At 41.7% G+C, this 25,448-nt stretch overlaps 1 protein-coding gene across 2 annotated transcripts in view, besides 6 other annotated features; it reads right to left on the bottom strand.

The window, feature by feature from the left end:
• TLN2 (talin 2) overlaps positions 1 to 25,448 on the bottom strand; it is a 454,082-nt gene that overhangs the window by 318,436 nt on the left and 110,198 nt on the right. The window lies entirely within an intron of this gene.
• Positions 3,676 to 4,605: an enhancer, noted in NCBI's record as "NANOG-H3K27ac-H3K4me1 hESC enhancer chr15:62813790-62814719 (GRCh37/hg19 assembly coordinates)". NCBI's record gives its function as "activates a minimal SCP1, AML or CMV promoter by ChIP-STARR-seq in primed H9 embryonic stem cells {active_cell/tissue: H9 hESC(primed)}" and the evidence as "EXISTENCE:reporter gene assay evidence [ECO:0000049][PMID:30033119]".
• Positions 3,676 to 4,766: a biological region, named in NCBI's record as "Sharpr-MPRA regulatory region 9025".
• Positions 4,472 to 4,766: a silencer, noted in NCBI's record as "tiled region #9025; HepG2 Repressive non-DNase unmatched - State 24:Quies". NCBI's record gives its function as "represses a minimal TATA promoter and a strong SV40 promoter by Sharpr-MPRA in HepG2 cells {active_cell/tissue: HepG2}" and the evidence as "EXISTENCE:reporter gene assay evidence [ECO:0000049][PMID:27701403]".
• Positions 19,355 to 19,885: an enhancer, noted in NCBI's record as "OCT4-NANOG-H3K4me1 hESC enhancer chr15:62798510-62799040 (GRCh37/hg19 assembly coordinates)". NCBI's record gives its function as "activates a minimal SCP1, AML or CMV promoter by ChIP-STARR-seq in naive H9 embryonic stem cells {active_cell/tissue: H9 hESC(naive)}" and the evidence as "EXISTENCE:reporter gene assay evidence [ECO:0000049][PMID:30033119]".
• Positions 19,355 to 19,946: a biological region, named in NCBI's record as "Sharpr-MPRA regulatory region 10240".
• Positions 19,652 to 19,946: an enhancer, noted in NCBI's record as "tiled region #10240; HepG2 Activating DNase matched - State 5:Enh". NCBI's record gives its function as "activates a minimal TATA promoter and a strong SV40 promoter by Sharpr-MPRA in HepG2 cells {active_cell/tissue: HepG2}" and the evidence as "EXISTENCE:reporter gene assay evidence [ECO:0000049][PMID:27701403]".

Here is a 25,448-nt window from a genome sequence, read left to right as displayed (position 1 = left end):
ATTGCGCCACTTCACTCCAGCCTGGGTGACAGAGAGAGCCTCCGTCTCAAATAAAAAGGAAATAATTATTTTTCCCTTAAATCTTTTGCTTATTGAGTTTGTTAATTGAGTATGTAACATATAAGAAAAAATAATAAATATATAATCTACATGACCAACCACATCATTGCCTACTCCAAGCCACCCTTCCTGCCCCACCTGCACCATTAATGCAAAACTGAAGTCTTTAATCTACCCTTCTTCCAGCTTCCCTTGCAGCAGTTCTCACTGGTGGCAGAGTTATAGATCCCACAGCACACTGCCAAGAGCTCTGACAGACTGCCAGAATTCCTCAGCAAGACGCATGAGGGGCACACTGACTAAGGAGGCCTGAGCTAGAAGCAGGGGTGCCGTGTGGGCTGGGGGGAACAGGTGAGGGCAGCATCCAGCTGCCCTTTCACTACCTAAAGGGACCTTACAGACAGAATGACCCACAAGTCTAAGCAAATGTCCTATTTTCTATAAGGTATCCAGAACCCTGTTACTGAAGGAGTAATAAAAGGGAACAAAGTGGAGGAAACCAACATTGACAAGAAAAGGGTGACTGCAGTTATGTTTTCACCAATTTCTGATACCCAAGAAAAAGATCAAACTAAATTGCAACATTACCACAGAAAAGACATTGTACTAACCTCACACATTGTTCTGCCAATGGCCAGAGAAAATATGATTAGAGAAGGTGGGGTATGGTTGTCCCCAGGGGAGGAGTGAATGACCCCATTTAGGAAGTGAACAGCAGGATGTATTCAATAAATTTCAGAAGAACCAAGTTGCATAAATCTGTATATGCAAGTTAATCCCATGCTGGTTTTAAATCATCTCAAAGAGATTGGTATACATTTCAGGGAGATCTGAGAACATTTTACACATCACCCTCATTTTGTTGAAAATGACAGCTTGCCTGAGGACACGTGGATGGCCTTAGCAAATCAACTTTAATAAACTGATTAAACACATGTGAGAGACAATGCACACAGGGCTCTGAGTAGAAGGGTAAGATCTGCAGCTACACAGCTCAGGGAAGGAATCGTGTGACCTTGGGCAAGTGCCTTACAGTCACCATGTAAAATTGGACTGCAATAGTGTTCACAAAAGGAGGTTGTGAAATGAATTCACATGCAGAGATGCTATCACGATGACTATGAGGATGAGCTCCACCATGTTGCTCTTGTCCTATTTAGCTAACTATGACTCAAGGTAAATCATTCTAACTTTATGGACCTTTTTCCCCTTGAGTGCAAAATGAAAGAAGGAAAATCGTTTCCAACTTCAAAATCCTTTCAATCAAATTTCTTCTTCTATTCATTTGTTGGGGGAACTCACCATGGACAAAGGATACCAACATGAACTTCCAGATCCTACCACTGTTTCTCAAACATCTGTAGGAATGAATAAAAGCAAGCATATAATGCATGTATGAGGCAGCCCAACTGATTCTGAATTCTAAAGCTGTGAATTTGAATGAATGAAGCTGCAGATGACAATCTCAATAGGTATCATTTACTGACATTTACTATATGCCAAAACAGGGCTGTTTAAAGTTCATGGTGGTTTCATCTACTCCTTCTGAGGCTACTTCAAGGTAGGGAGGCTACTTCAAGGTAGGGATCTGAAGTCCTATCCAAGGTTCAGAAAGGAGAAACGACTGGCTTTTGTTCCAGGGGACACAGTCTCGCTTGCTTCTGAGCCCAGCGTCTTCTCTCTACAGCACGCTGTCTCAGCACCCCGATGAGGCAGGTCCATGCCTAAATTGCTTCCTACACACACAAGCACACACCTGCAAGACCCTCTAAAATGAGAATTGTTAAATTGTTAACAGAAAAACTCAGAGTATAAAATCTGCCATTGACAAAGCTTCTACTCACAGCTTTGTGAAAGCTGATGATTTTAGTTTATGAACTAAACTAAACATGAACAGTAAGACAGTTTTATTTCCCAGCATTGAAAAGGCTATGTTATCAGGGCACAGGAATGCTGGAATAGCCCAGAATTCCCACACACAAAGAATTCCAGGTGGTTTTCAGGGCTCTCCTCCTAAGAAAATGGAAGGATTGGGATTTATGTTTACAAAATGCCTAACTGGGAAGCAGATAGTGGTTCCCACAAACCACCTTTCACCCCAGGTCCCTCAAAAGGACATAGGAGCAGCATCTAATACTAGTAACCTGGATAAATTTGCTTTGCTCAGATTGCTCTGTTCTGGGTTAGCTCCCCAAGACTGAGCTCTTCCCAGCTGGGATCGGTATGTTCAATACAGGAAAGGAATAAAGCATATCTCGCATTCATACAGCACTGTGCAATTTAGTTGCCTTTTGTCTTTAATTTCTAACTTAATTGGTTTTGACTTAAGTGGCCCACACAACACTGCCTCTTTAACATTTATTGAGGTGTGTACACTGTCACTTTTCATAAATGTACCACGTTTTAAAAATATGTACTTTCCAAGTTGTGAAAGCTGTGTTCTATGTGTGTCCACTAGATCAAGCTAGTTATTCTCTATTATTTATTTTTCTGCCCATTTGATATATCAATTACTGGGATAAATTCTCCCACTTACGCCAATGGATTTGTGAACTTTTCCCTCCAAGATTCAGCCAACTTCTTCTCTCTATATATATCCTTATATAAAGCACATATAACATAGTTAGCATAGTGTTCAGCTCTGAAGCTGCCAGCTGCTAATAAAATAGTCCTGGACTTGTCTAAGGACATACAGCTATTCACTAGCATAGAATTAAAGCCCTCTGACCCCCTTCTCTTAATCAGAAAGCAGTATGGGGCAGAAGGGAAGGCAGGTTTGTACAAAGTATTTATTCCAGAACTTTATGGTTAGAGAAGTGCAGGAGAACACCACCATGTCCATACCTCACTGAGAATCTTAAGTCATATGTCAGCTAAACATTTTATCTTCCCCAACTTAATTGCCCAGTTTAACTCATTCTCTCTGGAATTTATCTCCCCTTGTTGCTGGCTTCGGGGCTCTGTAAGAACAGCTGTGCCATGATGTACTTTATATAAACTTCTGGTCCTGAGAAATATTTGGCATATTTAAGCATATTTAAGGCAGGCAAGAGTTGTATCTAAACTATAGATAACCTTTGAGGACTTATCCCAGCCCTAGGATCCATAGAATTGTCGGGGGTGGGAAGAGGGAAGTGAATGAGTGTGAGTGAGAGAGTGTGTGTGTGTGTGTGTGTGTGTGTGTGTGTGTGTGTAAGCCACATTCAGGGCAGACCACTCATTTCATTAGCAGCTTCCAAATCCTCTGTAACATTCTCTCACATCCCAGTGGGTGAGTGAATCTTTGTCAAAGTCAAAGTTAACTGCACATGAGAGAGAGAAGATGCAATTTTCTTCTCTGGTTTTTGAACTCTGAAATTGACGCCTGGGAGTCGTCCTGTCCTCAAAATGTCAGCTGCAGGGCAGAAAAAAATACAACAAGAAAAGGCAGAATAAACCAGCAAGAAAACCTGCCAAACAGAAGAACATTCTTAGAAAGCCTCGGGGGTTAACAAGTCAGAAATTTGCTTTTTAAAAAAACAACAACAAGGAAATACCCACCTCTATTGAAAAGCAACTTCTGTGACAAGATTTTCAGCTACAAATTCATCAGAAACAGGTAACTGCAAAAAGCTCACAGCGTACTTGTTCTAGCAGCCAGGATTCAGCACAGACCTATCCATATGCCAGTTGTGCCAATGCTTCAGCAAGCTGACCCGTATTTCATCCACGAGAATGGACCACCACAGCCAAAACTTTATTCAGAAACCAATCCTGGATGAAGTGTAGAAACCAACGAACTGTACAGTTTGTCAAACCACCCCCAGTGTTTTTTAAAGGATTTACTGACACAGATTCTCTTTTTTTATTTCTTGGTATCTTCCCTCTAAAATAGAAGAGGGATTATTTCAAGCTGTGGACACATCCTGCTTTCTTCGATCCTTGAGGGTCTCACCACATGTCAAAGAGCTAAGCGTCAACCCCTTGAGTCGTGCATCCACACTGTGAACCAAAGACAAAGCCCTAAGCCCCTCCACCAACTGAACAGTCTTCCTGCTGGCCAAGAGGACGCCAGAGAAGTCTGAAAAAACTGAATTTCTGGCCATGATGGGAAGGGAAGTTGGACACGCCTCTTTATACCAGCTCCCTTTTGGAGTTTAGGCAAAACGACCAGTATTAACACTAAAATAGAGATCAAAGACTGACAAAACAGACTCTTTGCGGCAATAAGATACCAAATTCCAACCTGACTGTGGTATAGCGTCACACGGCAGAGAGCAGACACTGAGGAAATGGAAATATTTTACCCCAAAATATATTTCCTTGACATATATTGAAATGGCCCTGCAAAACCATCTTTCATGGGAGAAATTTGCATGCGGAAAATGTCCGTTTGCATGGGGGAATCTCCATTAATGCAGCCAGGCCTTTCTAGGATCTAGGAGAGATTAACTGAGTCTGACACCTTTTAAGATCAGAAAAGAGATCTTTACCATCTCTCTCTGAAGGCTGCTTAACTGGAGGCTTCACCTGCATAACAAAACAAGAACCTTGACCCTCACAACCCCCCTCATCTTAACTCAAGCATTTCTTTCTACTTAAGTCTTTAGACAAAGCTTAACTCTTTCAACCAACTGCCAATTAGAAAATCTTTGAATCCACTTATGACCTGTAACTTGCCCCCCAACTGTCTCCCTAAACTCCACTGCCTCAGGCACACTTTCTCAGGACCTCTTGAGACTGTTTCCCAGGCCATGGTCACTCATATCAGTTCAGAATAAACCTCTTTAAATATTTTACAGAGTTAGGTTTTTTGGTTAACAACACCCTAACCCTATTCCAGGGCTTTCCCCTGTACCCCCCACCCTCACGGCACCCAGCCCCAGCCATTCTTTGCTCTCAACAGCACTGCACAGATGTCAAAAATTCAGCCATAAAGGAGAAAGAGAAGGGTGGGATGTGATCTACAATTCACCACAAAACTATTCTTATGATCCTCTTTCCCTTCAAGCTTCAGATTTGCAGTTTAAGCATGTTTGGCCCAGAAGTCAAGGGACCAGACACACTCCCCTGTCAATCTATGGGAGGGACAAAGGAATGACACTGTAAGAAGACAAAAAGAAAGTGAAAACTTAAAGTAGTATACTCTCCTTACTTCCACCCAAGCCAACAGCAGGCAATGATGTGGAGCTTTTTGCACGTCTAATTTAACCATTCACCCTGGCAAGGACTAAGTATGTAAGGAGTTAAACACACACTCCTTTCAAAAATTTAACAAGTACATAAAAATTAAAAGGTCCTTAAAAAATATCTGAGTAAGAACAGATAGCCCTCAGAGATTATTTTTTAAATCGCTCTATCTCCCTTAAGAGATAGAACTTCTAAAACAGATATACACTTTAAAAAAATAAACAACTATTAAGTAAGTAATACTGGACCTCCTAAATCTGCAATATGATGCTACTTTTTCCGCTTAGCAACATATACGGTTATCTTTCCAACCACCTCCTTGGTCTCTATGCTGTAGTTATGTTTCCCGTTTAGAAGAAATAAGAAAAGGTTGACTTAGTGTCCCGTTGCCAACAGAGGGGTAGATATAACAAAACCTATTCACAATTCTGTATTCCTCACACATTCAACATGAAAGCTATCAAGGTTATCTTTTCTAACCCCTTAGAGAAAGGCTGTATGCCTGTGCATATATGTACACTTACACACATGTAGACATTACTCAGCTCTGTGCCTTCAACAAACTTCAGGGGTAAATTGCAGGCTCTTCTAAGAAGCATGGAGATGGAAATGTGCCATTTTCCATCAGAAGTGACAATTAATAAACACAACTTTGGGAGGCATACAACTGTACAACAATGAAGACTTCAGATCCCCAGAGAGAAATGGCATACATTCCGTAGCTCTTAGTTCAAAACTTGATTTTAGACACTGATATGGTTTGGCTGTGTCCCTAACAAATCTCATCATGAATTGTAGCACCCATAACTCCCACATATTGTTGGAGGGACCTGGTGGCAGAAAACTGAATCATGGTGGTGGTTTCCCCAATACTGTTCTCATGGTAGTGAATAAGTCTCACAAGATCTGATGGTTTTATAAGGGGAAACCCCTTTCACCTGGTCCTCACTGTCTCTTGTCTGCTGCCACGTAAGACGTGCCTTTCGCCTTCCACCATGATTGTGAGGCCTCTCCAGCTACATGGAACTGTGAGTCCACTAAACCTCTTTTTCTTTGTAAATTACCCAGTCTCAAGTATGTCTTTATCAGCAGCATGAAAACGGAGTAATACAAACACTAACTAAAAAACTTTTTTAAAGTTTCAGGAATATTTTCCTAGAAATACAACTTCAATTTCATATGCACGTAACACACTCCTTTCTAGAAAATGTCTTTCACTGAAAACTGTGTAGCCAATTTTATAGTCCTCAACCATCAAACAGAAATTTGCTGCTACACATTATACTCTTCCTTCTGCATACACCACTGACAAGACCCACTCTCCTTTACCAATCACTTTTGCTTCCTAGCCTAATCCTAGCAGCTGGCATACCCTGTATCAGCCTGTAAAAGTAAGAGAACACTGGAGTCTTCAATTTACAGTTCTCTATTCTGCAAAGAGGCTAAGCTTCCAAGGTTAAGCTTATTTAATATGCTATCATCATCACCAGCCAATAATTTACATTGAAAAGGCACAGGAAACAAATTCCCTCAGTGTCTCATTTATGAGCCACCAGGGATAAGCTTAAAATAAAGGTGTGAACACTAACAGAAAAATCAACATGGTCCAGGCCAAGAGTTGACTTGGGCTGTCATTAATATTTATGAGTTATTTACCAATGTAAGTGAGAGGTACTTAACTACCCCCACCCAAAGGTACTGAGACGGCCAACTTCAATTGCTGGGGAAATGTCTACCTTTTATATAAAAAGCACACTCAGGAGGAAAGGGTTTGTCTCACCTAAAAGCCCCAGATCTGTGGTCAATACTGTGGACTCCACCTTCATATCAAGTTCATCCAGCTCTATAACATAGAGGTCTATGACCCTGGGCAAGTTGCTTAACCACTTAAACTTCAGTTTCTTTATCCATAAAATAAGAACAATAGTAGTAGCTACCTCTTAGAATTGCTGTGAAGTTTAAACAAGTTAATATTTCTAATCCTGCTTAGAACTGTGTGTGGCACATGTAAAGTGCCCAATAAATCTTAAATCATTATACCACTAATCCACACTAAAAAAGACATTGCAAGCCGGACGCCATGGCTCACTCCTATAATCCCTGCACTTTGGGAGGCTGAGGCTGGTGGATCACTTAAGGTCAAGAGTTCGAGACCAGCCAGGCCAACACGGTGAAACTCTGTCTTTACTAAAAATACAAAAATTAGCCGGGTGTGATGGCGGGCACCTGTAATCCCAGCTACTGGGAAGGCTGAGGTAGGAGAATTGCTTGAAGCTGGGAGGCAGAGGTTGCAGAGAGCCAAGATCGCGCCACTGCACTCCAGCCTGGGTGACAGAGCAAAAATTCCATCTCAAAAAAACAAACAAAAAAAACATTGCAGGTCACGGCTCTCCACCGTTCACCATATTTTGCATGTTCTAGCCCATTTAGTCCTCAAAACACTGATAAAGTAGATAGAAATTTAATTTTCAGTTGAGAAACCTGAGGCTCAGACAAGTTTAAAGTCATACCAAACTTGCTAGTGAGCTGAAATCTGAACCCATGTCTATTTGTCTTCAAAACCTACGCTCCTCCTACTTCTCCAAGCTGTGTGGCTCCTTCCTGCCTCCGACACAAATAACTATAAAGAAATGTGCTGGTGGTGGCTCACGCCTATAATCCCAGCACTTTGGGAGGCCGAAGCAGGCAGATCACAAGGTCAGGAGTTCAACACCGGCCTGACCAACATGGTGAAACCCCGACTCTACTAAAAATACAAAAACTAGCGGGACGTGGTGACGCATGCCTGTAGTCCCAACTACTCAGGAGGCTGAGACAGGAGAATCGCTTGAACCCAGGAGGCGGAGGTTGCAGTGAGCCGAAATCATGCCACTGTACTCTAGCCTGGCGACAGAGTGAGACTCAATCTCAAAAAAAAAAAAACTGCTGCTAGCTAATATTTAATGAGCATTTACTATGTGCTCAGTCTGACGTCAGTGCTTTACTCTCGTTCCACACAACAATCTTATGGCTAAGTAAAATCATTAACCCCATTTTTCTTATGAGAAAATTCAGGCTTAAATAGTTCAAGTAATATGTCCAGGGATATTTAAGTAAGTGGCAGAGCTGGGACATGGCTACAGAGTCTCCCATAATTATTTCATTTAAAAAAAGAAAGAGACAAACAGACTTACCCAACAGGTCTGGGAAACTTTTGTACCATCAAATCAGTATGTTCCTTAGAATTAACATGTTTGTTTTTCCAAGTGGGTAATGTGGTAAGCCACAAAGCACCAATTCTCTTATAACATTAGCGGTGTGTTTGACTTTTAAAAAACAAATTAGAATGTAAGTAGAGTCCTCATTCTCCTGGCCAATGTCATTTTTTTGTTTACAAAAGGGGTACAAAATTAAAATATTGGGGGTGTGGAATAATTATTCAGGTTCATTGCAAAACAGCAATCACCACCTCATTTTTCTCCACTGCTCGGCAAATGCAGTGGGGGTAAACCACCATGGCCCCCAAGCAAACTTAAAAGTAGAAACAATTTTGTTTGGGATATCTTTATGTTTGTATCTATAAGGATTTAACTCAGTTATTTTTCAAGCAAAAACATGAAACATCCCATTTTATTCCAAGTACAACAAATGTGTGAACCTTTACTGTGATTTTCTACTAACAGCAGTTCAGGGTATGAAGGAAAAGGAAGAGGACAAAGGGACAAGGGTGAGCCTAAGGAGTAGTAAAGACTGGACAAAGAGGCTAAAGGATGAAAGGCACAGGTGCAGAAAGTGGGGACTCCAAGGCACAAAGTGGGAGGAACGGCGAAGGTTTGGTAATCTCTGAATTAGCAGCAACCTCTCGCCATCCTTGGCTTCAGAACATCCACCAGCCACTGAAATATTATTAGCTCTTTCATCCGTATCCACTGATCTTCAATGAAATAGTAACAGTGAGGAGGTGCCACATGGTGACGGAGCAGCAATATCTTCAATCTACAGCATCATAGTCAGAACAATCCCATCACTGGATAGTTCCAGTGAAACCCACATCTCCCTCCACTCCAGTCAACCTACACCTTTCCAATAAAACTCAGGACCAAGTTTATCAATACCTAATTCTGCCTCATGCAATTACCTCACCTCCTACCTAAAATCTTAAATAAGCAGCCCCAAAAAAACTTTCTGCTCTCAAAATGATACGAGGCAAAGCTACTAAGAATGACTGCACAGGCAAATGAGTCGTGGTATGATTGATCACCTGCCCCCTAGAGCTTCTGTCCAATTAAGCTGGGTGGGCAGAGACTGATGGTACCAAAGGCAGAAGGACACCACCAGGCCTTCAGCCATGGGAAGAAAAGAGACAAGAGGCGGATCAAGGCTGCAACAGCTGTCCAGAAGCAAGCATGCACCCAAAGTTGAAATCAAAAGATTTGAGATAATTATAGGTCACTACCAACACCATAGAGTGAATATGTTCCTTCACCTGACAGACACATTTTGTCTTATTTGTAGTCAAAACAAATAGAGTAAAATGTAGAATTCTTCAGGCAGAGCAGCAAAACTCCTAACTGCATAATGTGATTAGGACCAAAATAAACCTATGACCCATATAAAAACACTGAAAACATAATCCAAAGAGGAAAGGATGCTGTATGTCATTTGCAAAAAGGAGAAGGCAAACTCACATGTTGTTCTGGACCTAATTTAGAAGCTCTTATTGCCAAAAACTATAATAAATTGTGAGCACACTGTCTTCTTTTCATACTGCCTTACCCTCTCAACTATAAATAATAATTTCATATAAGCTGCAACGGAAACGGCAGCAAAAGACATGGTCTCTACTTGCACAAGTCACTTGACCTCTCTAAACCCAGGTCTCCACCTGTAAAAAGAGATGGTTGCATTGGATGATCCACAAAGTAGAGTCACACTAATCAAATGTCTTCAGTTTTGAAATTCACACTTGATTGGCTCCCTTCGAGTCCTGGCCACATCATACCTGAGCTGCCCTTCCCCACCCAGGATCTTGTTGCATAGGGGGTTCAGCAGCAGCGAGCTACTGCACAGCGGGACATGCCAGCAACCACAGCTGCTATGGGGCAAGCCCAGCACACATAAAGGACAGGCAGAGGGTGCCTACAAGAGGAATGGCAAGTATGTTCTGCTGGATTTATTTATACTTTACGACCTGTCCACTACCAAAAGAATTCACTGGAGTCTGATATAAAAACACACGTCTGAAAAAAAATCAGATGTGTGAAAAACACCAAAAACCCCAACATGCACAGAAGGCACTTAAAATGAAGATCAAATTAAAAACTAGAAACTGTATGCATGTTTTCAGTGATCCTTTAGTCACTGGTAGTATGTCTACACAGATAAGCCTAAGGATAATTTCTTGTATCTAAGTAAGAAATGCCCTCTCCTTCAGGGAGAACACTCATCACAAAGTTTACTAAACCCAACACATAATAGGATCTGTTATAGTTATATTTCAAAGAAAAGGAGAAAGAGAAAGTTTTAAATTCCTGCACACAGGTATGCCAGAAAACAAGACCACAACTTGCTGGCTCTTTGGAGTAGCCAAAGTCTGGAAACTATGCAAATTTCCAGTGACAGTAAAATGGATAAATTATAGTATATTCACACAATGGATTACTATGCAGCAATAAAAATGAACAAACCAGTCATGCAAACAACAACATGGATCAATCTCACCAACACAGTGCTGAGCTAATAGCAAGAGCTAACTGATATGATAAATATACTTTTGGGGGGATTAAAATTATATTGGGAGTATGACTGAAGATAGCCATCTACCACACAGATTTAAATAGAAGATGAAAAAAATCAGAGAAACAGAAATAATAAAAATCTTAGCATTAAAATGGGCCTTAGATCTTCTCTAGCTAAGCAGCTTCATTTGACAGAGAAGGAAACAGAGTGTGTAGGGAGTTCCAAGGTTCACGTGCTCTTAATTCCTAGGTCTGTACCTTTGCCTCATACCTGCTCCTCTCCACAAAATGTTCCAGACTTACATTTCCGCTCTCCTTGGTGTAAGTGAGTTATATTTTTTTAAATGGCATTTTGCATATTTACTCTCTTCTGGGAAAGTTGAAAGTTTTCATTTTCCCAGTTTGTTAATTCCACACTCCAACAGGGTAAAGATAGAAACTGATTTAACTCTTCTCATTAGCAATGCCAATTATTTAGGAAGATAACTGTTGAATACTCACTTAAGGACTACTGAGAGATTAAATGCAATTTACCACTCTCGAAGTCTTTAACACTTCAATTACAATTACAACCTGACACAAAATTAATTTCCATGTTTTGAAATAATACACCAAACTAACTGATACAATTTCCCTTTCTTTCCCTCTGTCAAAAGTCAATGCCCATGAACTGCTAAAATAAAATCTCTTCTTACAGTATGTGAAGGTCACATTATATTTACATGCTAATGACCACTGTGAATTAATTACCACTCTTAATCAAACAAGCTCATCTGCCTAAAACAGGTTATAAAAGACCTTTGAGAGGGGAAAAAAGCACCGTATTAAAACTTTGTTCCCAACATGCCATACGTACTTGTAAAGGGAGACTCAGGATTTTTCTTAAGAGCATTAGACATTTGATCTTTTTAACAGAATTATACTTCACTGCCACAATGAAGAAAGTTTTATGGTTATTTTTTTCATAACACTACTGACATAATGACATCAGGTAAAACCTCATTCATAATGTATTCAAAAGTTTTGTTCACAAGTAATAAGAGCCTCTAGGAAATTAATTACCAACAAGAACTAAAAAAGCTGGAGGTGTTCGCATACTAGGCTAGTAGCCAACAAGCAACTGGTGACCAAAGTAAAGCAGCTAGGTACAGTGTGTGCTGTGCGCATATATTATGCAAAAACTAGAAAGTTGTGTCTTTCAAGTTATAGCAAAGCTAATGTTGAGGTTTCTGCCAACTCCTTGACAAGAATTTCTTTTGCTTTGGTTAGTAGAGGGCGGAGGGGTTAACTTGTAAGAGATCTGGAATATTCTCCGCCCTAGACTAAAGACAGAAATCAGTGTAACAGAGCCAGAGTCACAGCTCCAACACACAAGGCTACAGGCTTTTACACCATTTAATCTGCAGCTACAAAATGCCAAACAGGTTCTGAAAGGGTTTGCAATTCCATCAATATTTATTTAGCACCAATTTTGTGTAGAACTTCTTCTAGACCCTATCTGGATTGAAACCTAGAGAAGGATCTGGCATTTACTGAGTTGTCCATATGCCAGACACTCTGCTAGACCCTTTAGTATCTGTTACACCTCATTTTTCATCATCACTATCACCCTGCAGGGGAAGAATGATGGGCCATTTCACAAATGGGTAACTGGAGGTTAAGTGACTTGCCCTTAGCAAAAGGTAAAGGTCTACAAGGTTATGGGATACACTCCCTCCACTGTTCCAGCTGACCCCAGGCTATAAGACATTTCCCTGTCGAAACAGGAAGGAAATCCAACATTTACAACAGAGCAGAAAGTTCTAACACAAAGCAAAGGACACCAGCACTAGGAAGAGACAACGCATCACAGATGCTGAGCAGGAAAGCTATCACTTCCCACCTGGCAGGCAGGTGTTGGGAGGGACCACAAAAGAGGGATCACTGGAGCTGGCTTTGGGAAACAAGGTGGCCCTCAACATCTGGCAACAGGTAGACAGGCACAGCAAGCAAAGGAAAAGCACAGCAAAGGGCCTGCAAAGCAGTAAGGAGGGGGCTGTGGCTGGACCATGTCGGGAGAGATGGAGGATCTAGGTCATCATTGTGAGAAGGACTCAGCATGACCAGAGGCTCCTAAGGCAGGAAGGACAGCTGGAGCAAAGTGGAGAACTTGGGAATGCCTATGTAGCAGCTGCCACTTGGATGCATGAAAGGGGGATATTGAGAGATTAGAGGTCAGGGCACCAATCAAAGCTAACTAGAAGAAATTAGAATCCTTGAATCAGGAGGTCAGGAAAGCAGGCTTGAAGCAATTTTGTGACTGAAGAAATAAGTGCTGGAAGAGGAGGATTTAAGACTAGAGTTCAGTTTTGCAAGCCAGATGAATGGGAAACAGATACTGTTACCAATCCAAACAGGAGAGGGAAGTCTTGAAGATGCCCAAAACATCCTGACCCAAACCAGCAGAGCAGCATGGAGGATTTGTGTAGGATGGTTCTCCTTCCAAGAAACTGGAACACACTGTGGACAAATAACATCTGGACAAACAGCCACTCATTTCACTGACTTACTTCAATGCAAGGGTAACCCATGAATTTTTTTATGGTTGGCTCTATGTCTGTCAAACTAATGTCATTACAGAACCTCAAATACCATCCATGAGAAGAAAGAAAATGTACACTCGGAAAGAGCACATCATGTCTCTCAGCAATTACCATCTAAATTTTTTAAGTCTACTATAAGTATCTTAAAGGGCAAGACAGAGTGGTCTATTTAGTTATGAGTAGCCTCTACAGCAATTTAAGTTTCTGTGGGACTTTGGGTGACTTCTTAGAGTTACTATGCTACTTAGGATCAATATGTTATCCAGAATGGGGGAAAGGTTAAACAAAGAAAGGAAGGGAAATAATTTTCCACTAAGAGAGAGCAGATTTCTGAACCGAGAGGTCCAGAAGTGAGCCTCTTCTGAGAATAGACAACCGACTCAGTCAGAGGGCCCAAGAAATGATGTAGTAATTTCACCATTAAAAGACTAACATTCCCCATTCCTGTGGCAGATCCAAACCACACAAAAAGATGCTGAGGGGCTCTAGAGTCTGTCATGTGGCAAAAGTGTAAAAAACATCATCCAAAGTATACTAAGCTTAGACTTTTCTGCTTCCAGCTGTGACCCAGGACAGCAGCTGGGTGGGCAAAGCAACTTTGTGACTGAAGAAGTAAGTGCTGGAAGAGGAGTATTTAGGACTAGAGTTGAGTTTTGCAAGCCTCCTGAGTGCACTGACCAGGACTAGACACCAGGGCACGGCAAGGGAGCATTTCAGGCACAGGTGCAAAATCGACCAGGGTTACTGCTGGGTTTTGAGAGTGTCTTCTCAGAAAAACACCCAGAAGAGATCATCTGAAGGCAAGTTAAACACCGATTTTTGTTTTAACTAAAGGCAAGAAATTCAGAAAAATGGGGTCACTCATTCCACTCTAGCTCAAAAGAATGGTTTAAACATAAATGATCTCATCCTGAGTTAGATATACCAATCTCTAGAAATTTCAAAATAACTAAGGAAATTGGGGTCAATCCTCAAAATTCAGGGGTGAACTCCATGAAGCATACCGCTTACTCCCAGAAACATCCCTCTGTCAGTGGCAGAAAGGACTCCGCTTCTCACGCTGGGGGTGGGGTGGGGAGGGAGACTCCCCCAGGGCCTACAGCAGGTAGGGGAGCTGCAAGATGAACATGGCACCTCTTCCAGGCAAGTCAACCCTCCTCTAACATTTGCGAAGAAAAGTAGCATTTTAACATAAAAACAAATAAAATGCACTATGGGATAGAATGTGAAATCCAAGTATTTTTGAGAAAAAAAGGGAGAATTCAAAGAAATTTTCACAAGACTACAGTGGGCAATTTGGAGCTAGACCCAGCTGTTTTGAGGACAGGTGTTGAATTTTCATGGAAAAGTATGGAGTCATTCTTATATACTCCTCAGCTCTTCAACTTAGAAACATTCCTAAACATAAAAAAACACACTAATAGACTCATCGGAAGCCCGTATATTTTACCACGTTCATATGTCATTAATAACAAGTGCTGCTAATAGCTGTTTTGCCATGCCCTGATCATCCTAGTTCAGCCTTATCAAAACAGCTTGAAACAGTACAACCACAGGAGGGGTCAATGTCTGGAGGTCACTCCATAGTGAAGACAGAAAGACGACTTAGCTGTAGAGCCTAGCATTGGGTGAGATATGAACAGCACAAAATAAATAATCAAGCCACTAATATTGTAAGACGTTCTTGTCAAAATGCTTTCGAATTGTACTTGGGGCCAAAGGACAATCTTTGTGTCTTAACTTTTACACTTCATTCCAGATACAATTCTTTTCCTAGACTTAGGAAGAGCATGTGGTATCACTCTATAGCACGTAACTGGATTCTCTGGGGGTTGTCTTCTTTCACATACATAAAAACACATTCTATTAATTCTCAGAGAGTCATTCCAAGGACCTGGAGGCACTGGGGGCAGGCAGGGCAGAGAAAGGGCACTGCTTGGTGCCCAGGCACTCACTGTCTCTCCTGCAAGGTCAGCAAACCCTCAGTCACCTGCCACAGCATCGCCCTGGAGCAGGCAAAACATCACCATGCATGAATTAGTGGGGATAAAAGAACAGAGGCTCCATAGGGGCTCCCAAATTACAATACCCATAACTTACACATTAAATGACATGCTAAGCCATAGGCCCAGCTCAAAGTAGTATGTTTTACTATGTGTTGGGCAAGATTTAAATATGATACATATATTATCATCATATACCTATTTCTATGCCATCTCATCATCTAAATTATCTCAACTACTGCATAAGGTAAGCACCATTTTACAGCTTAAGGAACTGAAGCTCAGAATGATGAAATGATTTGCACAAAGCTACTAAGCGACACCCAAGCCTAGCTGATCCCAAAGCCCAGGGCCCCACCCTCTGGTTCACCACTCAAGAGCCACCACTTCAGAACCCTTCTCCAGGGCCCCTGAGGAAAATGGCATGCTCTGGTGGGTGCCCAGTGCTGACCCAAAGGGGCTGGCAGCACCTGTCATGAGAAGGGAAGCTGAACACGAGCCATTTGGGGTACTGGGACCACATCTTACCAGCCCCCGTTTTGCAAGATGCTTTACTAAGGCTGCCAGTAACAAACCCCACAAAGAATGAAGAGAATACAGACTACTGGGAAGATCCCAATTGTCTTAAAAACTTTCCCTATTCGCTAAAAACATTTTTTTTTCACATGACTTACAGAAATAAAATGTTTTAAGTACAGGATTAATTTGAAACTAATATCCTTATCCAAACCCCAAACTAAATATTTCTTTTTCTGACTGGGAAACAACTGGGTGTGGACACGGAATCCAAAGCCACCGGATTCTCTCCACCTCAACGGAGCCCAGGCATTAGGAGGCAGAGCGGAGGGAGGGAGTTCCAGGCAGGGAAGTGGGAGGTGGCTCAGGCAAGCCCAACAGCCTCCCCTGGCTTCAGTGGTCCTGTCTGTAAAGGAGGCGCACGGATGGCCATGACCTGACAAGCCCCCGAAAGCCCCTCTCCTCCCTGGTTCTGTGTGATCAGTGAGACGTTACAAGGAGGGGACCAGAGGACCAGGAGGGGCCGTTCTCAGCAGCACATGTGCATTCCAGGCAAGTTATGCCGAAGATAGGAGAGAGGATGACCCTCGCACCCACACTGCTGTGTCAGAAGTTCAATCTCAAGGCTGGGCTGCTATTTGGAATCTAGATTCTGCTAGAAGACACCTTGAAAGTTTGCTAAGTCAGATTTGAGATGCCAGCTGGGTATGTTTTTATTATCACACGATAAACACTTAGAAAGTAACAGAAATAGAGCTCAATCAATGGAATCACTCGCAACAAATGCTGTTAGCCATGACTAAACAAATAGGCTCTACTAGCAAACTAAAGTATTAACATACAAAGGTCATTTCTCAAAAAAAACAAAACAAACACAAGACATTTTACGGAAAATAAGCCAATCCATTTTTATGAAGTAGCTAGTCCAAGATCCTGAACCACTCCAAAGCCATCATAGTCAGAATGTCCAGTACACGCAGACAGGAAGCATAGGGTAATGGTTAAGATCACAGATCCTAGAGCCAGACCATCTTGGTCCAACCCCTGGCTTATGGGATCCTAAGCACCTTACTTAAGCTTTCTATAGTTTAGTTTCTTTATCTGTAAAATGGAGATAAAAACAGGACCTACCTCATAGGAATGTTAGGAAGCTAAATAAGTAAAACACTAAGATTACAGGCTGGCTTATAGTAAATTCATCCACATAAATGTAACTCTTACTATCACATGTATATACAAAAATACCAAGAATACTGATTAGGAGTAATTGATTATTATTCTATTCACAAAAGGAAGAGATTAAACAATGGATAGTAGAGACCTCCACTGCTCTAAAAGTAACATTACACACACACACAAAAACGTAAATAGAGAAACATGAATCTAAATGCTGTACTAAAAATTCAACTCAAAGTTTGGCCCATATTTTCCAGGATAATTTAAGACAGCTACCTAAGTTATGAAAAATTTACCTAATTTTTTCATTCATTCCAAGGTATTACCTTTTTTATTTGATAAATCGTATTTCTCTAAATTTCTTTTCAACTTGATAGAAAATTTGGTCATTTTTATTTCAAACTGTCCAGATCTTTTCGAAATGAAAAATTTGTTTCAAAAATCATCTATAGGGCTTTGGCCGGGTGCAGTGGCTCACGCCTGTAATCCCAGCACTTTGGGAGGCCGAGGCGGGTGGATCACAAGGTCAGGAGTTCGAGACCAGCCTGGCCAAGATGGTGAAACCCCGTCTCTACTAAAAATACAAAAATTAGCTGGGTGTGGTGGCACGCGCCTGTAGTCCCAGCTACCCGGGAGGCTGAGGCAGGAGAATCGCTTGAACCCGGGAGGCGAAGGTTGCAGTGAGTCAAGATCACACCACTGCACTCCAGCCTGGGTGACAAGAGAGAAACTCTGTCTTTAAATAAATAAATAAATAAAATAATTTTAAAAAATCATCTATAGGGCTTAAATAGTCACTCATCCAGAAGGAAACATCATATATTTAAATTTACCACCACGATTAAATGGTATCTTCATTCATCTCTACCAAATATATCAATTAAGGCTTATTCAGAGAGCTACTGTAGAAAATTCAATATGGAAGCCTCTTGGTGATTCCAGAATACATACAGAAAAGCCCAAAAACCCATAAACAAAAAAAAACCTTGAAATTTCACCAATGATAACAAGTAAATATTCTATATACCAAAAAGTATGCAAAGTACTACAAAATAAAGAATATCTCACATACAGTTATGAATCTCGTTCTCAGGTACGGAATGTGGGATTTCACTCCTTAGAGTCCCATACATCTTCCTCAGAAGACAAAAGGGCAAAACTGTGCACTGCACAGCTTGTTCAAGACATCTGTGCTTCTGCCCAGTACTGCCTACATCCTTGGGAAGACAACTCAATTGCTTACTAAGCATGCCACATTTTACTATGCTTCAATTACACAGTTCCTCTGATCAATCATGTTAGCATTTAATTACCATGCAATTAACTCACTGCACTAACTCAAGCTCATGGGCATTTCTGCTTTGGCCACAGAAATCACAGAGTTGATATCCAAAGCCCACTCTGCATTTTACCCCCACCCACCTGTGCTCTGCCTCCCAGGCACTTGCCTGGGTTATGATTATGAAATTTCCACAGAATAGCAATTATTCTCCAAACTCAGTCAAAGCTGCCCAAAGAAGGACCAGCCTTAGGGCAAGGGACTCACTGTATAAACATCCCTACTTGATGGGGACTCGGTTGCGGGAGGTGGGCAACTCAAGCATCACACGGGGGTCTCAATGAGATGACCAGTTACCAGACTTTGGTATTCCATAGCAGAATACCCCCACCTTTCCCAAATTGTGCTGACTGATAACTTCGTCTTGAGAAACCAACCTCGAAGCACGATCTCATTAAAAACAGACATTTCAACACCTAAGAAGTAAAAAGAACAGTATCTTTTAATAAAAAGCAATTATCTGAGCACATTTATCTTAGAAACTCATCCTTCTTTTTCTCCTTCTGACTTTATACCAATTTCTGGATCAATTCTTTGGGGGAAAACGAGATTAAATAATCTTAAAATTATTTCTAATCCTTATATCAGCTGACCAAAGTTCAGCAAGTGTTTTTAAGCTAAAAAGAAATGAAGATATTTATCATCTGTCACCAGTAAAAACAACAAATATCTTGTCATTCACTTCACATATGCTGAAATGACAGATACACATAAGCAAAAATAAAAAATAAAAATAAGGGTGGAGGAAAAGGAAGCATTCTGCTTTCCTGGTAAAATTTCTAGGAAGATTAATATCCCGTTTGAATGCCATGCTGCTCACACATGATTTTGAAAAGATAGTTTCCTGCTCTACAACAAGAGTGGAATCAGCTGTTTTAACTTGGGGCCCTAGAGTGTAACTCTCAAGTTGCTTAGTTATTTATAACTTCAGAGCAACGCCTGCTTCTGCCATATCAAAGTATGCAAGACCCTAGGGAAAGGTCAGAAGACAATGTTGCTTGTTTCAAACACACTGGCAATTTAAAACTCCCCCAACCTCCATGGGAGAGCTTTCATGTTGGGAATGCTCCAGAAACAAACTAAAGGATCTCCTGGCAGGAGGGCTCTCATCTTTGCCAGGTTCAGCACAGTTCCTAGGAATTCCAAATGTTAATCTGAAGAGCTGGAATCCAGTCTGGTGTTTGTAATACCACCCATGTGACTACCTCATGCAGATATGCATTTGCTCAATAAATATTTGCTGAACATTTCCTGTTTGGAAGGCACCATAGCAGAGTCTCCTCACTCTCTGCCCCTCATCACACCCAAAAAAGGTCTGACCCAGTCCAGTTTCCCAGAGGGTAGCCTAAACCCTCATACCAGCAGCCACTAGATAATGTGCTATAACCACTGCCACACTCTTGGAACCTGCAACACACAAATGATTTCAGAGGACAGAGAGGTCCCTTCTTCCTGGAGATATCACAGTTTCCTAGATTTGTGCTGGGCTTTTAAAGAAAGACATGAGAGAAAAATTAACAGGAAACTTGTACTCCCAGAATATAGGCTCCATTCGGGCCAGATCTTTATGAGTCTTATTCAAAATTGTTTTCCCCGCGTCTAGAACAATGCCTGCCAAAAAGTAAATGCTCTCTTGATATTAGTTCCATAAATAGAATAAAGGAAAGAATGATCTTAGACCTGGCATTGACTCAGCCATCACGTAACTAGCCTCAAGTCATGGAGGTTCAATGACATTTGGCTAATGTAAGTTCAGGCTACCCAAAGAGGCAGACACTCCCCTTCCCCTTCCCCGTCCGCCCCCCATCATAGAGGCAGACAAGGTCAAAAACTATGTTACAGATTAAGTTTAGGGAGAACTTCCTTCCACCTTCCTCATGTACCAGTTGTAAATTCCTTAATTTGCTCCCTACAGATGTCACAAATCAATTCTTAACCAAGCACAGGGAAGAGGGAGATTGACTTGAAATTTTACCTAACATATTTGTGCGTAAGACAGAGCCAACGTTGTAGTTCTGAGAAGTCCAGGAAACACTCCAGCCTGAGGCTACCAGATAAATTACAGAGTTGTGCAAGGATGTACGCCTGCAGACCCCAATTAGAGGGCAGGTGGGCTCCAGTGGGCAGAAACTCAGGACAGGAACTCTGGAAGAACACTGGCTAAATAGAAGGATTCCTTGCTTACTAACATGATGCCAGGATTTCCTAGCACATTTTAAAATAGGTTTAAATCAATGTAAGCCAGATTTAAGACAACTCTTCATCAGCACAGTGTGTAAGCTAAAGTAAGATTTGCTTGCAAAATAAGAGGAAGAGGAGGGCAAGGTGGGAGAACCAAAAATTATCCTCTGAAGGTACCAGTAAGAAACATGTTTTTGGCCGAGCACAGTGGCTCACGCCTGTAATCCCAGCACTTTGGGAGGCCGAGGTGGGCGGATCACAAGGTCAGGAGTTCGAGACTGGCCTGGCCAACATGGTGAAACCCCGTCTCTACTAAAAATACAAAAAAATTAGCTGGGCATAGTGGCAGGCGCCTGTAATCCCAGCTACTCGGGAAGCTGAGGCAGGAGAATCGCTTGAACCTGGGAAGCGGAGGTTGCAGTGAGCTGAGATCGCGCCACTACACTCCAGCCTGGGGAACAGAGTGAGACTCCGTCTCAAAACAACAACAACAACAACAAAAACATGTTTCTGTTTTTTAATGTTATTACCCAACAAAAAAGTGAGCAGTGGGGCAGAGTTTAGAATGGCCCAGAGTCTCCCTCTCTCTCTCTCTCTCTCTCTCTCACACACACACACACACACACACACACACCCCACCAACTACTTTCTGTTACCCTTTCTTCCTGTTACCCTCTCAGCACTTAGCACTCTGGCTCCTCCCTTGCACTGACAACAATAAATAAATAGCCTAATGGAACTACTGGAAGTTTTACTTAAAGTCTACGATCCATTTCAAGATAATTTTTGTATGTGGTGTAACCTAAGGATCAAGGTTCACTTTTTTCCATATGGATACCCAACTGTTTCAGCATCACTTGTTGAAAAGCCCATCCATTCTCCATTGAATTACAGTGGCCCCTTTGATGAAAATCCATTGATCATACATGTGTGGGTCTATTTCTGGACTCTATTCTGTTCCATCCATCTAATATGGCTGCTTTTACACGAATACCTCACTGTCTTGCTTTCTATAGCTTTGACGTATACCTTGAAATCAGGTAGTGTAAGCCCTCCAACTATGTTCTTTTCCAAAACTAACTTGGCTACTCTGAGCCCTTTGCATTTCCATGTAAATTTTAGAATCAGCTTGTTGATTTATTAAAACAAACACATACACCCCCTTCTGGGATTCTGAATGAGAATGCAATGGACCTATAGATCAATTTGGTGAGATGACATCTTAACAATGTTGTCTTCTAATCTATAAAAACGGTATCTGTTTCCTTTTATTTGAGAGACCTATCAGAGTTCAACAAGAACAACAACAAAATCTAGAGCTACTACCTGTGTGTCAAGAAGGGAGGAGTTGCTGGAAAACAGCAAATCTCTGCAAAATAATTTACAATTTTACACAGTTCTTTCATGAACCTTACATGCAACTGATGCCACTGATTTTTTTAAAAGGCTCAAAAAAGCACAGATGAAAAAACAGGCAGATGTGGCGCCCAAATCCCGGTACTCTTTTTTCTACGTGAGATTCCAGGGTCTTTGATACTGTACAGTTCACTGAAAACTAAGAATCAAAGGGAGGCTGGCAGGAGAGAGAAAAACAACTGGGGAAGGGGTGTGAGCCCAGCTCCAGGACCTGCTCCCAGAAGCTAAGTGAGGCTTCCAGGTTCTCTGACAAGCTCACAGAACGGAGAGGAATGAGAAGAAACCAATAAAGATGATGAAAATTCACAACAGGACAATATCCTTCTAGAAAGGCCACAAGCTGGCAAAGAGCCAAGAGAGGAAATGGGGCAAGCATACTGCAGGAGGTCCACAGAGCACAGCCAAGGGCAGACACATGGCTTCCAAGATGCCTGGGAATTTCCAAGAAGAGACAGGTTAAAGAGCAAGACAGACATTGTTATTTCCTTTTCACACCACAGAAAGAAAATCACTTCCCTAAGAAGCTTTAATAGACTGTGGCAGTGACTGAACCACTAATCACTTAAGAAGTCTCTCTGTGTATAAAGCACACATGGGTTAAGCGGAGAAATCAGTGCTAAAAGTTGAAGTGGAGGATTCGAGCTCAGGGTAGAATAATTACACAGCACACACAAAGATGTGAAGAAATCCTACTGATCCCAGGTATCTGCACGTGGTTAGTTCAGATCTTAGTGCTGGTGACACAGGACTGATGGCCACTTCCTAGGAGGGTAGGTGCATTGGTTTCACTGAGTAAGTGACTTTTATTATTTTTTTATTTTTCTATATTTACAGATTATCTACCATGAACACATATTACTTTTATAATAAAGAATAATAGATGTACATATATTTTAATGGCTATAAAGGGAACTTGTTGACGCTGTTGTAGCAGAGTCTGCAATCTGGCCACACAAACATAGGCACTATGACTCAGAGTGGCCAGGCCATAAGGCACAAATCACCTGGCCTTGGAAGAGGGGGTGGCTAATAAAGCAGTATTTGAAAACGCAGCAAACGGAACTGTGAAGTCAACTCTTGCAGGCTTCACAAAGCTGTTTTCCTCCAACCCACCTCTGGGCTCTTTAACAGCCAAAAGGAAAGGACTCACCTCAAAGTTGTTACCAAACAGTACAAGAGCAAGGAAGGGAGACACAGGTGATAGGAAAACAGAGAAGCCCAAGACCATCTATCACCGGGCCTTTCTATCTCACACTCACTTGCATTCTTACAAGTGGCAGTTCTCATAACCTGCCTGTGTGTTTTCAAATTCCATCTCCAAATCCAGATGCAGAACCAGATGACGCCCCGTCTCCTCTCCCCTAGCCAGGCCAGAAGCCAAGCACAGATGATACATCATGAGTCTTTATGGATCAATACAGTCATGATTACCAGCTTTGGAATCAAGAGTACAGATGATTTCTGTCTGAAACTCACCACTTAGACCCCTCGTATCACCAGGCCCAGTGCCTCGGCAATAAACCCCCATGCCTGCAGCCTAGAGCAATCTGTCCCAGGTCAGGCACCAGGCAGCTGCACAGGCTTGACACCCTGGCTGACTCCCCTCCCAGTGCTTGTCCTATATGTCACAAAGACATTCTTCCTCCTTAGAAATTTTAAAACTCCAAAACTAAACTAATATTCTCACAAGAAGAAGTCAGCAGTTCAAACCTTTGTTTTCTAGCAACTCCATGTTTTGAAAGCATTTGAGAAAAGCTGTCAAATATAGTAAATTCAAGCTACTGTGCCTTTCCCTAGAAAAACAATACATATTTTGTTTTAAAATGAAAACACAAAAGGAGCAGCAGCATGTCAAGGAGAATAAGCCCCACAACTCCGTAAAGCTTCCTTCAGCTGAAGAAACTTGTGGCAATGCCTTCCAATCATCCATGCATTACACAGGCATATTCTTAAAGGTAGAGCCACCTGTGACTAGTTCTCCTATAAGGCCCATCATAGGCTTAGGACAAAGAGAGCGAGGAAGGTCACAAAGCCATATCACATGCAGTGGTATCCAACCCACTGATACCAAGGTGCCCAAACTATATCTTAATTGGCTTTCAGCTAGTATCTTGGTATTTGACCCTCCATGGAAATGATGCCCATTCACTAAGTTCCCTACCTTGGAAATAATCATCTCAAAAATCAGGCATAAGGCTTACATGATTATTCAAAATAGATACTTAAAATTAAATAAAAAACATGAAAAGCCCAGTGAGCCTTCATTAGTCAGAGCATGCAATCATCTGCCACCTTCAAATCCTGTTGATATAACTATGTCCAATTAAACAAAAAACAACATCCAAAGGTTCTGTCACATCAGTGTGGATGGGTCCCTCTAATTGTGACTATTCCTTTCCAAAAAATATTTGTCAGCCACTTCTGAAATCCAGATATTCTGCACCACAGCAAGTGGTCTTACTATTCAAAGTGTGACAGAATCATGAAAAGCCCTAACCAGGAATTAACGTTTTCCCGGGGCAGTGTGAGTGCAAGCTTCATTTTCTGAGAGCCAACCAAACAACTAAGTGTATCCAGCAACCTTGTGGGAGGGTCGCTCTTTTGGTACAAGTCTATCAAGGATGAAATTGATGGGGGTTCTCAATGGCCAGTCATGAGTGTCCACCCCAGCCCTGCCCTTGGCCTCAGCTGGAGGCTTGAGAAATTCAGGCAAAGAGAGACACATGTGGCCTGCTCAGGAGAAATAGGAACAAAAGGGACTTGCATAGCCCTGATGCCAAAAGATGACCCAATCCACTTCTTTTGGCCAAGTAGAAGCAAGAAGTAGAGATAAAAGTTCCTCCTTTTTTTAAACAATGAACAGAGGGAGGCTTACCTGTCCCAAGCTCCTTCAGCCTTCTGAGAAAGGTCATTTATCTTTTGCTCAATGAGATGGTCTATAACATGCCCCATGGCGCATTGCACATTTAAGCAGAATATTTCTAAGCTCTGAAACTTGCACAAGATGCGTTTTTCAGTGGCACTATTTGTGAGGACCAGAAGTGCCCTGGCGGGACTTCAAGCCCCCTTAGGTTACCAAATTTTAAGCAAACAAAACTGTGTTGCTGCAGGGACTGTGGTGGGGCCTGCACACTCAGAAAAGATGGCCAAGAGCAGCCTGGGAGAATTGTCTTGAAACAATACTATCTTTCTTCTGCGTCTTTAACTGCTCAAGAAGAGTATGCATATTAAATAGCAGGAAAAAGTTGCCCAATTGAGGCAAAAATTCCTTTCCCAACAGCGCTCCCTC

This window comes from Homo sapiens, chromosome 15 (assembly GCF_000001405.40).
Source record: "Homo sapiens chromosome 15, GRCh38.p14 Primary Assembly".
Lineage (NCBI taxonomy): Eukaryota > Metazoa > Chordata > Mammalia > Primates > Hominidae > Homo > Homo sapiens.
Note: the sequence above shows the minus strand (reverse complement) of the source record. Positions and strands in the feature narration are given on the sequence as shown.